Source organism: Homo sapiens, chromosome X, assembly GCF_000001405.40.
Source record: "Homo sapiens chromosome X, GRCh38.p14 Primary Assembly".
Taxonomy (NCBI): Eukaryota; Metazoa; Chordata; class Mammalia; order Primates; family Hominidae; genus Homo; species Homo sapiens.
The window spans coordinates 97,516,907-97,533,663 of record NC_000023.11 but is presented as its reverse complement, the minus strand read 5'-3'; the positions used below and the strand labels follow the sequence as shown (position 1 = coordinate 97,533,663).

At 36.6% G+C, this 16,757-nt stretch overlaps 1 protein-coding gene and 1 long non-coding RNA gene across 2 annotated transcripts in view; one reads left to right on the top strand and one right to left on the bottom strand.

Moving 5' to 3' along the window:
• The window catches only part of DIAPH2-AS1 (DIAPH2 antisense RNA 1), a 36,172-nt gene extending 30,872 nt beyond the window's left edge, over window positions 1-5,300 (top strand). The window contains exons 2-3 of the long non-coding RNA NR_125391.1: window positions 235-352; window positions 4,598-5,300. This is a non-coding gene — a long non-coding RNA (DIAPH2 antisense RNA 1). The remainder of the gene's footprint in view (window positions 1-234; window positions 353-4,597) is intronic.
• DIAPH2 (diaphanous related formin 2) overlaps window positions 1-16,757 on the bottom strand; it is a 920,156-nt gene that overhangs the window by 71,334 nt on the left and 832,065 nt on the right. The gene's annotated exons all lie outside the window — the stretch shown is intronic.

Genomic DNA, 16,757 nt, shown 5'->3' with positions numbered 1-16,757 from the left:
AAATAATACCTATAAAATGAAGGTATCAGGCAACACATTGACCAGATGATCGAAGTTAACATTACCAGTGAGGGACAGAGAGACATTTTGTGCCTCCAGATGTGAACCATAAGGACATACTTTGCTTATCTAGTAGTTAGGACAGAAGTACATAACCTGAATCTAATCATGAGGTAAATACAAATTGAGGAATCTTCTATAAAATAACTGACCAGTTTTCTTCATATTTAACAGTGTATGCAATGGTATGAGGAACTGTTCCACATTAAAGGAGACTAAGAAGACATAACAACTCGATGCAATGTGTGATTCTGGACTGGATCTTGCATTGGAGGAGAAAATGCTATAAAAGGTATCACTGAGACAGTTAACATCATTGGAACATGGATGGTTGATTAGATGGAAGTATTACATTAATGATACATTTCCTGAATTTGGTAACTTTGCTATTGTTACCTACAAGAATAATCTTGCTCTTAGGAAACAGTAATTGAAGTATTAAAAATTTAAGAGGCATAACAAAATGAATGTGGCTAAATGTTTAAAATGGTGAATCTGCACAAAGGGTATACAGGGATTTCCAAGTACTATTCTTGCAACTTTTATGTTCAAAATTCAAAAATATTCAAAATATTCATAATTATTGCAAAATGTAAAAAAAAAAATAGAAATAAAGATGAGTTTTGGGAACCCAATTCAGATACCTTATCCACTAAGATTAAATTTGACTAATTACAGATTAAACAGAGCGGGCAAAACCAAATTTTTTGACATCAATTTCCAGTCTCTGGGATTGCCCACTCTAGTGTCAGTCAACTGCCATGTCCTCAGACAGTCTATACAGAGACTTCCCCTGCTGACGAGGAGGAACTAATATCTTAATATGGGTTTTATTTTATGTTAAGTAAGGAGAAGGAATATTTACCAGTTTAAGATTGTTTCCATATTATGCTAGTGACTTTTACTTCAGTTATAATGAATTGAGACATTTCTTCAAACAGGATCACAAGATAAAAATAGTGCAGAGTTAAAGCTGCCTCTACTTTTGGACTTTGGATTTACTTTTTTGCATTTCGTTAGCCTATTTCAAACTCTTTCCCATTCTTAATAGTTGCTTGCTGGCAAAGCCGCTTCCTTTGTTTCACATAGGCTGCTTACCTAGCCAGTGCTGGGGAGAAGCCTCCTTCTGGGGATGACACTGGGCCACAATTCAAGATAGAATCAGATTTAGTGACACTTAAGATTTGGCCTAGACTAGAATACAAAATGAAAAGTAGAAGTTTTACAGCTCACCAAACTGCCTCTGCATTCACTCAGAAAAAAATGTTCCAAAGCGTTCAAGCTAGCTTTTCAGAAATATTATAGTTGTAAAATCTGTGACACCAGTAATAGTTGTGCCAAGCACGAGTTTTATTTTAGTAAGTTGTTTACCTATGCCAATATTTAAGTGTACTTCTGTGCAAAAAGATGTGGATAATAGTTCTCTTTATAGAAAAATCAATGTACCCAAATAGTCGTAAAATATCACAGTGTGTACATGCACATGCATTATGCAAGTACAAATAGATCTACATTGTGCCAGATGTGATCTAATCATCGTGGAAGCTCTGTTTAGGTATATGATATTAAAAAATGCTGAACAGGCTTTTTTCTCAGAGTGAAGCCACACATTCCACGTTACTAATAGCAAATTATATTTGACATGTAATTTTAAAATGAAGTTACTCTAATCTAAAGTAATAGTGCAACAACAGGGATAAGCAATGAAGCCTTTCATAAGACAAAATGGATTTTAAGATTCTAGAGAGTTTCAGTTACAAGTAATTAGAAATGAAATTTAGGACACGTAAAATGTATTTCTTTCAATGGTTAATTACATTTGGCCATCTATTGTTCCAAATGGTGATGGACTAATAAATTGTAATCATCATCTCTCTACATATCGAATTGTAATGTTCTCATAAGCAGTCTATACAACTAGAGAAACCTATTTCTTTCAATCCTAAAAATTTACTTCAGTAAAACACTGAGTTGTTACATACATGGATGCACACAGATATGTGCACATAACAGATAAACATTAGTATGTATATAAGCATATATACATTTAATTTTGGTCTTGTAAAACAGAATGGGCCTCTAAAAGGCATTTTAACTGTGATGTATGCTATGTCTGTAAAAATTAAGTTAGTTAGCCGATTTTACTGGAATACATATTCTAAATATCTCAGATTTATGATGGCATGCTTTGAGTCTAACGAGGTCTCTCAATATACAAGCTCTCTCTCCTCAATCTACAAATGTTATTTCTATTTCTTCTATTAGAAAACAAAGAAAGGAAGAAAAGGAAAGAAGAATAAAGAAAAATAATGTAAAATAGTAGTGGAAAAGGAAGTAAAAATGGAAAACGACTGGAAGAAGGAAGGGGAAGGGAGAGGAAGGAATGGGAAAGGGGGAAGACGGAAGGAGAACAATACAACCTATCTCTATTATTTCTAATCAAGTCGATGAGTGTTTCTAGAGAAAATTAAAGAGTCGTATATAATAGATTTATGACACTACAAATTAATGGACCAAAATTTTAAGCCCATCATACCTTTCATGTTTCCATAGTCACCTTCCCTACTCACCTCAAATCTGACCTTATCACCATCATGGCCTCTTTACCCACCACTCCACTGAACCTGCACTCACCAACGATCTACCTATGAAACCCAAAGGACTTCTTAGTACCTGTGCTCCTTGTTACTATATCCAAAGGACCTCACTGTAGTATAAGTCAGTATCAGCTACTCTTTCCTTATTGAAACAGTTTTCACTAATTGTCACTGTCCTCCTACCTCTTTATTATTTTTTAATGGATTCCAGTTCCTTGGAGAGATTCTCAATACTGTCATCTATTTTCTCAAACTTATTAATCATAGTAATTTAAAAAATCATGCTAATTTAAAAGTCTATGAGAATGTCAACAGCTGACTCATTGGTAGGTCTATTTCTATTGTCTGATTTTTCCCTTGGTTCAGTTTCTTCATAAGCCAATTAATGCATGATTAAATATAGACATTTTGTTTGCAGAAATCTTGGAGCCACTAGATGATATTTTCCTCCAGAGAGGGTTCTCTCTATCATTTATAGGCAGCTGGAGTAGAGGTAGATCACCTTAATCTAATCAAGGAATCAACGAACAAATAGGTGAAGTTGCAGTCTTTCAAAAGTTCAGTCTATATTTAGTTCATACCAATTCCTAAAGGGTAGGTTCTTTAAGAGTCCCAAATGAAATGCTGGGGTGTTTCTTGGGGCTGCTCCTCTGTGGAGGGCCCTGAACATTATTTTCTATTTCTTTTATACTATGAGTGGGAAAGCTCCACTCTGCTTTTCAGTCACTTACTGCTTGACGGGTTAGGCTTTTTCATCCCATGAACAGCTTAAGGATTTGGCAAATGCCTGGAGGTTAAAACTACTGAGTGCAAGTTCATTTCTCTACTCATCCACTCTCTTCAGGATTTTGGCCCCCTTCAGTACTGACTGCCTTGACAGCCCTCAATGTTTTCCTCTCTCTCTAAGCCTATAAGATAGCTGGAACTTCTGGTGACTTCTCTGTATCATGCTGTAAGAATTGGCAAATGCCCCAAAAGGAAATATGCCTCATTTCTCTGTAGTTTTCCTTGCTTGAGATTTTAACTTCTCAAGCCCTGGCTGTCTTGGCTACTTTCCAATGCCTTCAAACAGACTTTTTGTCTGTTATCTGGCTTATGTAGATATTCTTGGCAGAGCATTGTTCTGCCACAAGTTACTATACAATTTTCAGAAGTAGAAATCTCTCTTTGGCTATTTTTTTTTCCCAGTACTCTCTCTAGGCTTCTTGTTGTATGATTGAATCTTAAACATTATTTCTTCTTTCAGGAATATTTGCCTCTTGCCTAACTTCTGTTTTCCTGTTTCACTCTGACACATCTTTCTATATCAGTTTAGAATGCTCTAGGATGTGTGCTAATTCTGAAAGTCAGATTTAGGTGATTTTTCTATATATGCCCTTAATACCCAACAGTACCTCCACATTAGCACTTAACATAATTCATTATAATTCCTTATCTACTTATCTGTACCGTCCCCTTATCTGTAAAACATATGAGGGCAGATGTAATATCATGTGTACTACTGTATTCCAAGTACTTTGCCACTGCATCTCTAAGCACTTAGCACATTGCCTAGAACACAGCACAGTAAAAAATTGTTGAATAATTGTTGGTTCATCAGCTGGTAAACAGCAAAGAGAATTAACTATGTGGCTCTATATCTGTCTTCTTCTACCTCCTCTATTCTTCCTCTTTAGAGTAATCATACTCTTTTGTCCCCCACTGACAGCTCAATTAATGTGATCTTGGGAAATCTATCACACCTATATAACTTGAATAAAGCCAAGTTGCCTCATAGTTCCCTACCAGTACAGAGTCATATCCAAGTAAAAATGAATGTGAATACAAAACATGACTGAAAAACAATATAAGTAGTTACCAAATCCTTTCCAAGGATATCAAAGGAGGATTCCATTTATAATGTGCAACAGAACTAAAATCTTTTTTTTTTTTTGATACAGTGTCTTGCTCTTTCACCCAGGCTGGAGTGCAGTGGCGCCATCTCAGCTCACTGCAACCTCCGCCTCCCGGATTCAAGCGATTATCCTGCCTCAGTCTCCTGAGTAGCTGAGATTACAGACACGTGCCACCATGTCCAGCATATATATATATATTTTTGTAGAGATGGGGTTTCACCATGTTGGCCAAGCTGGTCTCCTGACCTTGTGATCTGCCCACCTTGGCCTTTTTTTCTCTATGTTTCTCTGACTCAACCTTTGACACTTAGAAGGTAGCACACTTCCAACATATCCTTCCGTCTTCCAAGATATAGTCCATACAACTTTCCATAGTTCGAATGTTTATCCCCCAAACCTCATGTTGAAATTTGATCCCCAATGTTGGAAGTGGGGCCCGATGGGAGGAATTTGGGTCATGGAGGTGGATCCCTCATGAATGACTTGATGTCCTCCTTGTGGTAATGAGTGAGTTCTTGCTCCATTAGTTCCTGAGAAAGCTGGTTGTTTAAAAACAAAAACAAAAACCTGTAAGCTCCCTTCCCTCTCTCTTTCTTGTCATTTGGTCTCTGCACATGCCAGCTCCCCTTCTCCTTCTGCCATAAATGGAATTAACCTAAAGCCCTCACCAGAAGCAGACGCTGGCACTGTGCTTCCTGTGCAGTCTGCAGAACCGTAAACCAAATAAATCTCCTTTCGTTATAAATTACCCAGCCTCAGGTATTCCTTTATAGCAACACTAAACAGATTAAGACACAACTGAAGACAAAAAAACAAATAACAACAACAAAAGCAAATAAATAACTCTCTTCCTACCTCAGCTCATGCAAGCTTTGCGGTTTACATATCATCTCCTTATAGTGTGGCTCAACTTAGCCTCTTTAACTTATTGCAACTTTTATCTCTATTTAGGACATTTATATAGGATGGCCTAAGAACTAAGCAAGAAAGAACTCCTTTTCCTTTGGTTGCTGGTGCTTGTGGAATGCTTGTGGTGCTAAAGTATAAAGTTGTTTTTTTAATCCTCATATTTGCATATAAGCCCCCTCTTCTCAAAATTTTCCTCTGGCACCATATCCTCTTCCTTTATCCTCTTCCCTTGTTTTATTTTCATCACTAGTCAAAAACTGACCAGAATCATAGCACAACAGTTGTACTACAAAACACTTAGAACCACAAAAAGGGAAGTAAAAGTTCACAAGTTTTAAAATCAGTTAGACTTGATAAAGAACACGTGTCATTTGAAGTCTTCAAAAATGCTCATGAGCCCTATTTTGAGATTTCACACAGTCTCCATCTACTTTTTCATCCTCTTATAATTAAACCTGTTTTTCCTCAAGCACCACCATTGAAGCCCAAAATATAAAATGATCTTATTCAACGTTATTGCTTTTGTTTAATTAGTAGTATATGATAAATGTGTTCACTACTGTTTCACTGCAAATGTATAGTATTTCAGTAACATTATTGGCTATCCTAGGGGAGCCCAACCACCATTTATAACACTGCCTTGGTAGGAAAATGCTTTCTGGATTCCAAACAACTGACATCTAAAGCAAAGTTTTCCCACTTGGGTAATCAGGATTCAAACAATAATATGCCCTACATCTGTCTACAGCCATTTGTAAGATAGGGACTGCCTGTATTTGAAAAACACACGCTGATATGTTGCTTTTAATCAGGGAAAAAAATGTTTGGATGATGAAGTTCCATGCCTAGATTTCTCTTCCTAGTTTTCAATTACATTCCTCCATTCTATCAGATTAGACTCATGTAAATCCTAAAGAAAATTCTGTCAGTACAATATATGCTCTACTTTTAATCTTAAAAATAATTTTCATGTACGACCCAGTTAAGTATTTGGGTTACAGAAACCTCTCAATAACTACAGTAATCACAGTTTTTCAGAACCAAGTAGATGTATTAGGACAGATGTTTTGTTTTCAAAATTCTAACTAATGAATTTAGAATTTTTCTTTCGCTTGCAGTGGGCCTGATCAACATGCTACTATTATATGTCGTTGCCTACCAGCATTAATTAGTCCGGGAACAGTAGAGGAGAAAATGGACAATGGTTATTTGCAGGGTTGGGGCTAGGAGCAGCTGAGAATTGGGTAGAGAATGAATGAGGAGTGCTTTTGAGTACGTACTGACATGTTGGACAGCAGAGTCATAGTTGGGTAGGGACAGAAATGAGATAGATGGAAAAGTTGAATGGGAAAAAGGCTTGTAGAATACCAAACGGAAAAGCAGAAGCAGAGTGGGTGTGGACTAGGAAAGGTGGAAGGAAGTGGACATGTTCAAATAAGAGAATTTTAGAGTACTTGGAGGTACAACAGTTTCAAGAGATAATGAAATCTAAATTGGTAACCAATGGTTCTAGGGAATCAATGAGAAGCTTGAGTCAAAGTTGACTCAGAGTTTGAACTTAGGTGACTGGGCTTATTACTGTTAGAGATGGAGAAGGTAGAAGGAGTAACACACTTTGGAGGCAAGACATACTTAGCACTATGCTGGAATGGATACTAAAAATAGTACAGTATTCAATGTCTATTCTTACCTTTTGTTACCAAGTGCTAAATGGATTTGGTGACTTTTTTTTTTTTTTTTGGCATTCCTTCTCATATGGCCTGACCACAATTTCTTTTTTCTATTCCCATGGATTCAACAAGAAGAGATACTATTTTAAGACTTCAAGAGCAGTGGCATTTTTGCCCTTCAGTTTGGCAGGTCACTTTAGGATAACCATTCGAAGCAACCTCATGTTCGGTGTCACAATCTTCTGTATAGAGCAATCTTTGCATGCCTGTTTCAAAGACATTTGTGGAGGCTATGATCTGCTCAGGGGAAGAAAAGCTTTCTCAGAGAAAACCACACACTCCTGCTTGAGGTCATTTTTGTTAGGAAACACGTCTGACAAGACTCCACTGATACTAACTAAACCTGCCATTCCAGGGTAAAGTTGTCTAAAGATGATGATGAACTTCTCTGGATAGTCAAAATTGTGAAGTGGTTGCCAGAGGCCTGGTTTGCTGACATTGATCAAGGTCAAATTTATGTACTCAAAGTAGGAAATAAGAAACACTTTTCATTTATTGCAGTCATGCAAATTAAGTTCACACTCAAGCGGCATATGACAAATAAGCCACAGGCAAAAAGAGTTTCTATCAAAATATTCAACATATAGTTCAGAGCATGAGCAGTTTATCTAGCCCCAGATGCTCCCTGTGTCATCAGTATCAAAAAGGCAAAGTCAGATAAAACTGTACTGGAATATGAGACTACATGTGGGCTGGTATATTACTGCCCTTTTGTGTTTTTATTTCTCCTAATAAATTATAAGGTTGATATCTAAAGTAAAAGAATATTGTATTCTTTGATATACTTATACTGTACCTCAAGGCTACCCTTTGTTTGCTGTTTGTTCTTTTGTTCATTCATCTACTCATTTATTCAAAAATGTCTGAAGGGCCTATTAAGTTCCCAATGACATGCTTAATGCCGGATCTACAAAGATAAATAAGACATGCTCCCAATGAGCTCACTATCTAATAGGAAAGACAGGCAGGTAAAGAAACAAAGACAAAGCAGTGTGGGAATTCAGTGGGAACAACATGCTGAAAGCACCATGCAAGAACTGAGAAAGTATATTCATAGCCCCCCGGTGATGGGGCCGAATTGAGTTTTAAAAGGATGAGCAGGAGTTCATCCAATGAAAAGAACAAGGGAGGGCAGTCCAGGCAGGGGGACACAGTGGGCAAAATTATAAAAGAATGCAGGGATTTGAAGGGGGACAAGACTGGAAGCTGGAATGCCATTTAGAAGATTGCTGCAGTTGTCTCAGCAACAGTTGGTAAAACATGGGAATAGGACAATGGTAGTTAGGAAGCCACAGAGGTGACACATTCAAGAAATATTTAGGAAGGAAAACGGGCAGGATACAGAGATTGTGAGATGTGGAGATTTATAGAGAAGGAAGAATCAAGGTTCACACCCAGTTCCCTGCTAGAGTGAGTAGCTGGATGGTGGTGCCGCCTACAAAGAATCAAAAACGGAATAGATTTTAGAAGAAAAAGCAGAGTTAAGATTTTGACATGAACTGAAGGTGCCTATTGAACATCTAGGTAGAATTGTCCAGCAGGCATTTCATTATGCAAGCCTTAAGTTCCAGGAAGAACTGTAGGCTATAGCTACGGAGTTAGAAATGATTTGCATATAGACAGTTAAAAATATGAGAGTGGGTGAAATCACACAGAAAGATTCTTGTGTAGAGTGTGAGGGTTGAACCTTGGTGAACAAAAGCATTTAATGTACAAGGAGAAAAAGAAACATCAATGATGAGGATGAATCAAAAGGTATCAGAAAAATCAGGAAACGTATGTTGTTGTCACAAAAACAACAATAAATTTCAACTTTGTAGAGAAATCCACAACTATGGAGATGACAGATTCTGAATTTTTTCTAGGGTTGTGTTCTAGTAGAGTTACAGTAAAGGTGCAATATCTTATCTATGCCTCTATTTCTGGGCAAGTAAGTGTCTGACTCATTGTAAGTTTTCAACAAATATTTACTGAATGAATGTATGTCAATGTGAAGAATATATGTTGTTAAGTAAAATATAAAGGCACATGGACATGGAAAGCACTTAAGTCATTTTTACTATGGTACCTGGGGTACTATCTTGTTGGTAATAAAATGCCAAATGAAGATAATGGTAACGATCCAGTCTGGAGGATGATTTCTCCGGCATAGAATATTCATCACAGCACTTGAAATGGGCAAGCCAGATAGCTCATGCAGGCTAATCACTAATACAACAAATATTGAGCAACTACTATAAATATTTGCCAAACACTGTTCTAGGCACTGGAGAGTCTTTGGGTAACTAGAGGAGTTAAAGCATCTTCTCTCATGGAGGTTACATTTCAGTGGGGAGCAGAAGACAAATGATGAACAAATAAATACATGACGGGTGGTGATAAATGCTCAGAAAACAAAGTATGGTAAGGAGCAAAGAGGAGGGTACTATTCTACGGTTTACTCTAAAATCTAGTTAATTCTTGCCACCCACATCTGAAATGCTGATTTTTACTGTACTAGCTTTCTTTTTCTTAAAAGAAATCTAATTCTACAGTGAATAAAAATTACTCATGATTTCAAAAATATCTAGTTAATTCTTATTTCTGATATGAAATTTTATAAAACACAGCAGGGAAAATGAAATGAGGAGCCAAATAATTTGGGGAAAATTATATTATCAATAGCTTACAACAGTTTTAAGTAGCTTAGAAAACAGAAATGAAATAGATCATAAAAAAATTACAAAATGGAAACCACAGCTGCTATCTATTTCAAGTACTATTTTTAATGAGCAAATCTGGTTTTGAAACTATCGTAAATTTACTTGAATGATTTCTCCCCCAGCTCTTTTCCCTTTTTCATTTTTCAAATATTGCCCAAAAGAGGTGGTGGGTAAGAGGGATTATGTTATCACACAGCTTCCACAAAGTGAACCCTGGTAGTCGTGGAAGCAGAGGAAATAATTTCCCTTGGCATACGGTATTATTAACAGTACTGGCATCCTTTGGCTGATTGGAATTCCAAAGGACAAAGATAACCACTTAAATAAAATAGGATTATGAATTGGAATTGATAAGAATGAGATGTTCAGTCCATTTAATCGTGGTCATTATCTCCATATCTGAGGTTAGTTAGAATTCTTTCAAATCATTTCTATATATATTAGGAAAAGGAAGTACTCTAGATAGGAGTTAGGGACAAAGGAATCCCCCATGAGTCTATCTGCTTCTATCTGGTCTCAAAAATACTGGGAGGGAGGGAGGTATGGAGATGCAAAAGGACAAAAGAGAGGAAAACATTCCAATTTTCCACCAATTTGATTTAAAAATTCACCAGGCAATAAGAACAAAAGTCTCGTAAGAAAAGGCACCCTCTTTGCCTCTAGGCTGAAATGAATTGTCATTGTTCATGAAAGCCCTGTGAGACAGAGGTTTGACTCAGCTAGCTCCCCTTCTTCTGGGATCTCCAAAGGCATGAAAGGAAATAGCAACACCTTGGATAATAAAGTAGGCAAGCCCCACCTGAATCTGTCATGTAAAGTGTTAAAAGTCTTGCATTATTTGCTTGTGATTACCAGCTCCATTTTCTTGTGCCCTTAGTTCAGGACTGCCGCTGCTTAACAGACAGACCACTAGGGAGGTCTGTGAACAAACAGTATCTTATTTCTCCAAATAGGGAAAGAAGTGTTCATGGGCAGGAGGTAAATAAATATACTGTTTGCAGTAATGCAATGATAGTTCTCCTTCTCCAAGCAAAAATAAGAACAAACAAAATATTAATAATGACCATAAGGACAAAAAAAAATGAGGGTTCCATTTGCCTAAAAGGCATAGTATAACTCAATTTTATCAGTAAAATGCAGTTCCTAGTTTTGCCTCTCTGAAATACAGAATTCAACTAATTAAAGCACTAATGAAAGCAGTCATGATTTTAACCAGATAAACCTCAAATTATGAACCTCATAGTTCAGAAGTATTTCTTGACTGAATGCATCAACAACTCATTAATCTGCCAGACACTTTCACTATGAAACTTGAAAGTCTGGGCCAGATGTGTGGTGGCTCACGCTTATAATCCCAGCACTGTGGGAGGACCAGGCAGGCAGACTGCTTGAGTCCAGAAGTTTGAGACCAGGCTGGGCAACATAGCGAGACCCCATCTCTTAAAAAAATAAACAAACTGATAGTCTACATACTAATCAAGGATGTAAGTTCTGTATAGAGAGTAACAAGATCACACGAGGCTTGGGTTTATCACATACAGGAATAGAAGCACAGTTTGAATGTATATATAATCCAGCAAATCTATATTATGGTATAGTAGAAAAAGTACTAGAGGACGTAAGTTCTGTCATCAACTTTTCTACTAACTAGGTATAAGAACCTATATAAGTCCTTAATGTTTATGTAAAAGGAAGGAGTTAGCGAATGTTCTTTAACCTCATTTTCACCTTTAAAATTCTATGATTCTAGGACCTATGTGCAAATGACTTCTATTGGCAGATAGTTACTAATCACAAACTTCTATAAAGTCTGTTTGGTAAGAGTTCTAGGGATAACATTTTCTGTACATTTGAAATAATTTATAATTTGAAAAGAGAAAGATGCACAAAGTTGGTGTTCAATAAATGTTTACAAGAAGAATTAAGATTTGTATTAGTCCATTCCTATGCTGCTTTGAAGAAATACCCAAGACTGGGTAATTTATAAAGAAAAGAGGTTTAATTGATTCACAGTTCCCCAAGGCTGGGGAGGCCTCAGGAGACTTACAATTGTGGCTAAGGCACCTCTTCAAAGGGCAGCAGGAGAGAGAATGAGAACAGAGCCAAGGGGGAAGCCTCTTATAAAACCATCAGATCTCCTGAGAACATACTATCCTGAGAATAGCATGGAGGAAACCACCGCCATGATTCAATTACCTCCCACTGGGTCCCTCCCACCACACATGGAGATTATGGGAACTACAAATCAAGATGAGATGTGGGCAGCCAAACCATATCAAGATTTTATACCTCCTTAGAAGTAAATGAAAATCTTCCTGTCCCAGAACTATTGTTGGGGGTGAGGAAAGGCAAGGAATGTGTATGTAAGGAAAGGGGAGTAAGGAGTGGGAAGAGGACTCATTCCAGAATATACATCATTTTGTACAATGTGTTGCAAATTGTATTCCATAAATGCAATTGTCTAGTTCATTTGGAATGCTATAACAAAATACCATAGACTGGGTAACTTGTAAACAACGGAAATTTATTTCTCACAGTTCTGGCAGCTGGGACGTCTAATAATATCATGGTGCCAGCAGTGTCTGGTGAGGGACTGCTTCCTCATAGACTGCACCTTCTCACTGTGCCCTCACATGGTGGAAGGGGCAAACAAGCTCCCTCAGGCCTCTTCTGTAAGGGCACTAATTCCATTCATGAGGGCAGAGCCTTCATGACCTAATCAACTCCCAAAGGCCCCACCTTCTAATACAATCACAATGGAGGGTAGACTTCAACATACAAATTCTGGGGAGACACATTTAGACCAAAACAGCAATATTTAATTGTGTTTCATAAATGAACACAAAGGCAGTATGAAAGTGGTTCGTTGATGAAACAAGTGATCATGAAGAACGTTCTTGGATCATCTCTAAAACTATTACCAAAGACAATGTTGTACTTCGTCTTCCATTTTAAACTGTCTGTGTTTCGTCAGATAATAAGAATTATAAAACATAACATGTTTTCTTTTCTGTATTGGCTTCCAGTAAGCTCAGAGCTAAATTTAATGCTCAATAATAGTAACTAGCCTTAATTTACATATTTGGAATAATTGTGTAAAAGTTTCCCTCTAACTTTTAATTTAACTTTAATGGGCCTTTGTTGCAAAAACCACCTGAAATCTTTCTGGGAAGTAGATGAAGGATAGATTAGGATGTAATCAACATGTATCTGTGTTCTATCTAAATAGAGAAGGAAAACATTTATGTAAGTGGAAATTAGAAGATATTTTAAAATCATGATATGAAAAAATCATTAGAAATAAATCATCTTTGAGTAATTATTTCCACAAAAGCACTGTTATTGTGTGGGAGAAGTTATAACTACTAACTAGATGTGGAACACAAAAAGCAATATAGAATGTAAAATTCAGTGCCTTCAGCCATCATTGAGACTACACAGCAACAGGAAATTTAAAGAAAAATATGATAAAACATTTTTGAAAATGCAACATTTGGAAACGCTTTGAAGTTGCACAATTTTAACAGTTCTTTTAAAAAAACATAGCCTGTACATACATCAAAAATCTTTTTTATTTCAATTGGAAAAGATGAAGAAGAAAAGAAGGTCTAAGAATAGCAAAGATTAAAGTAAAATGAAATAACATTCTTGTTATCCAGATTTGGTAGGTGAATTTTTTTATTCACTTTTAGAATGGAACATTGGGAAAAAGCAGGGGGGTAGGGAATGAATGTATGGAAAGAACAAAAACAGTTTAAGGGGCCAGACGCTGTGGCTCACGCCTGTAATCCCAGCACTTTGGGAGGCCGAGGCGGGTGGATCATGAGGTCAGGAGTTCAAGACCAGCCTGGCCAAGATGGTGAAAACCCGTCTCTACTAAAAGTACAAAAATTACAGCGCGCCTGTAATGCCAGCTACTCGGGAGGCTGAGGCAGGAGAATCGCTTGACCCTGGGGGGAGGAGGTGAGCCGAGATCGCGCCACTGCACTCCAGCCTGGGTGACAGAGTGAGACTCCATCTCAAAAAAAATAAAAATAAAAAATAAAAATAAATAAAAAATAACAGTTTAAGAGACTACAGAAAAATAACAAATAAGCTATTTGACAAAGACTGACAGATGGATATCTGGGCCACCACTGAAACAGTAACCTCTGTTGAAAATTACAGGCATTCTTATCAATCAGAGTCACAAGTATACTTCATCTTCTTAGGTATACTGAGGGCTATGCATGGACTACTATTCCTTTAAACACTTAAAAACCATTTTAAAGACATCTAAGCATTTTTAAAGAAAAGAGAGAACTGGTGAATATGACACGTGGTAATAACTGTCTTTTAGCCTATTTTTGTAGATCCAGGTGACTTACAATATGAGGAAAATAATAATTTGAGGAAAATAACCCATAAATGTGAATTTTTTTTGAAACAGATGTTTTCAATGCAACGGAGGACATGACTAACAATACAATGAATCTCTTTTAAAAGTAAGAGATCTCTGAGGGGAAAAAAATCACCTTCATTTATCAATCTTGTAAAATATTATTTTCATTTATTGGGTTGTTTAAATAGGGGCATATCTGAATACCACTGTGAGCAAAAACGAAGCAACCTGGTCAAGCTTGGGCACCTGAAATTGCAGTCATCAAAATACACTATTCAGAATGTTCAATTACTTTTTACAGGTATCAAACAATGTATAGCCAACTCTCAATTATACAGGCTGTTAGAGAGAAAGGGTGGTTTGGCTAATTTAAAACAGCAAACAATCCAGAAATTCTTTATGTAGATTTGGAAAACCATTTTAAATCCAAAATTGCCTTTGAGATATGAGTCACCATCCAGGAACATTAGAAACTGAGCTGGAATCGGGAATCCTGAGGGCAGATTAAAGTCTTCTCATGGATTGTCAAGGCTTTATTATTCTTGTTTCTAGAATTGGGGGAGCTAGAAGGTATGCAGCTATTATCCTCAGCTACAGAGAAAAGATTAAGAATAGGAAGGGCCCTGGAGGAATTTCTTGGAAAATCCCATATTTTCTCATTGAGGAGTTTCCCTGCTCATTCAAGGACTAAAGCTATACTCACTTGCGCTCTAATACACAGAATCTAATCCATAGAGAAGTTCATGGCTTGAGAAGCTTTCTAGATTAAATAGACACTACTGAGAGAAAACTAGATGGAAAAAACTATATATATATATACACACATATATATATACACACACAAACATATATATACACACACATATATATATATACACACATACACACACATACATACATATATATATGCTATTAGAAGGACATTTTTAAAAATTTTGGAACATGTTTTTCAGTAGGGATTAATAAAATGTCAAGCTCTTCTGGGGATTCTTCCCCATCCTGATTTTTCAACATAATCCTACGCTATTACTTTATCTCCTCTAGTTTTACAGCTACGTGTAAATGAAGCTGCTGATTTTGGATCTATATGAGAAATATAAAAATCAAGAACTCACTGTTTATGTAAGTTTATCTCATACTGCCAGCTCTGCTTACCAAAAATAAGAAAGAACAGAACAAAATAAAATGGCCTACTAGGCACTTAAAATCCATGCCATGTTCCATGGCAGTGAGCAGGACTTCTCATCCATTTAAAGTTTGAGAAGAGCTTGATAGTATTCTGGCCCCAAGCCTTCTGCTCATTTGATTTGCCATACAAGATTGCATTCCCAGTGCCAAGGGCAGCAGGAATTGGCCCAACGCTACAGTGCTATTCATTTTCAGAGCCACCTGATTTTGCAGGTGAGTAGTTATATCTCCACAGAGTTCTACTTCTATGACTAACATCTTGCTCATCCTGTAACAGACACCTATTCTGGGGTCTGATGAACATCAGCATTGGGAGGTTTAACTCAGCGTTTGGCTTTGTATAACATGATTTTGCTGGTTCTGACATCAGCCATATGTCCAACTTTGGAAAAATTGCATTTTTGCCTGTAGGGTTTCCTTTAAAAAAAGCAGGGCTAGAGGAATGTGAAGATGATGTTTGTAAATAGATTTTTTAAAATCATAAAAGCTATTGGTTTCTCAGAAACTCTAAGAATATGTGTGACTAAAGCCTTAGCTGGTCAATGTTTTAAGCTTCTCAGGTGAGATCAATAGGCTTAAATTTTTATTAGTAATACAAGTTAATAACAATTTATTAAAATGCTATTGTATTTCACCACAAATTCCTTGCATATATTTTTTTAAAAGCTGGGAAAAACTATCATCACTTTATCTAGAAAGATGACTTTTTTCCCTCCCTTTAGGTTCTGTCAATGATTCTCAGCCTTACAGGTGAGAGTGACATAAATTATAGATTATTGCCATGCTTTGTGAAAGTTGTGAGAGGCATAGTTTGAAGCGCTCATCTTTATTATTTCATTGATAAGAAAAATACAGAAATCGAGATAGGCTGTTGAGGTCTGTAAATAATTTTTTTTCTTAAACCATCACCTGTATAAAAATGACAACAGAATTAGACTTGCTGTCTGACCACAATGAATAAATAAAATTATCCAGTTCAAATGCTCTGTAATGATTTCTTCCATGTTACTGTGAACTACCATAGTGATATGTGTTTGAATGGGGACTCTGGTAGAAGCAGTGTTGAAGCAATGCAAAAATTAACTCGAAAAAAACCTGTGAGGTCCATCACTATGGACTCCATCACTATGTGAGGTGACAGGTTAATTAGCTTGATTGTAGAAATCATTCCACAATGTATATGCATATAAAAATATCATGCTGTACACCTTGAATATACATAATTTGCCAATTATACCTCGATAAAGATAAAACAAAGACATGGGATTGCTTCTAATTCTGCATTATTATGAATG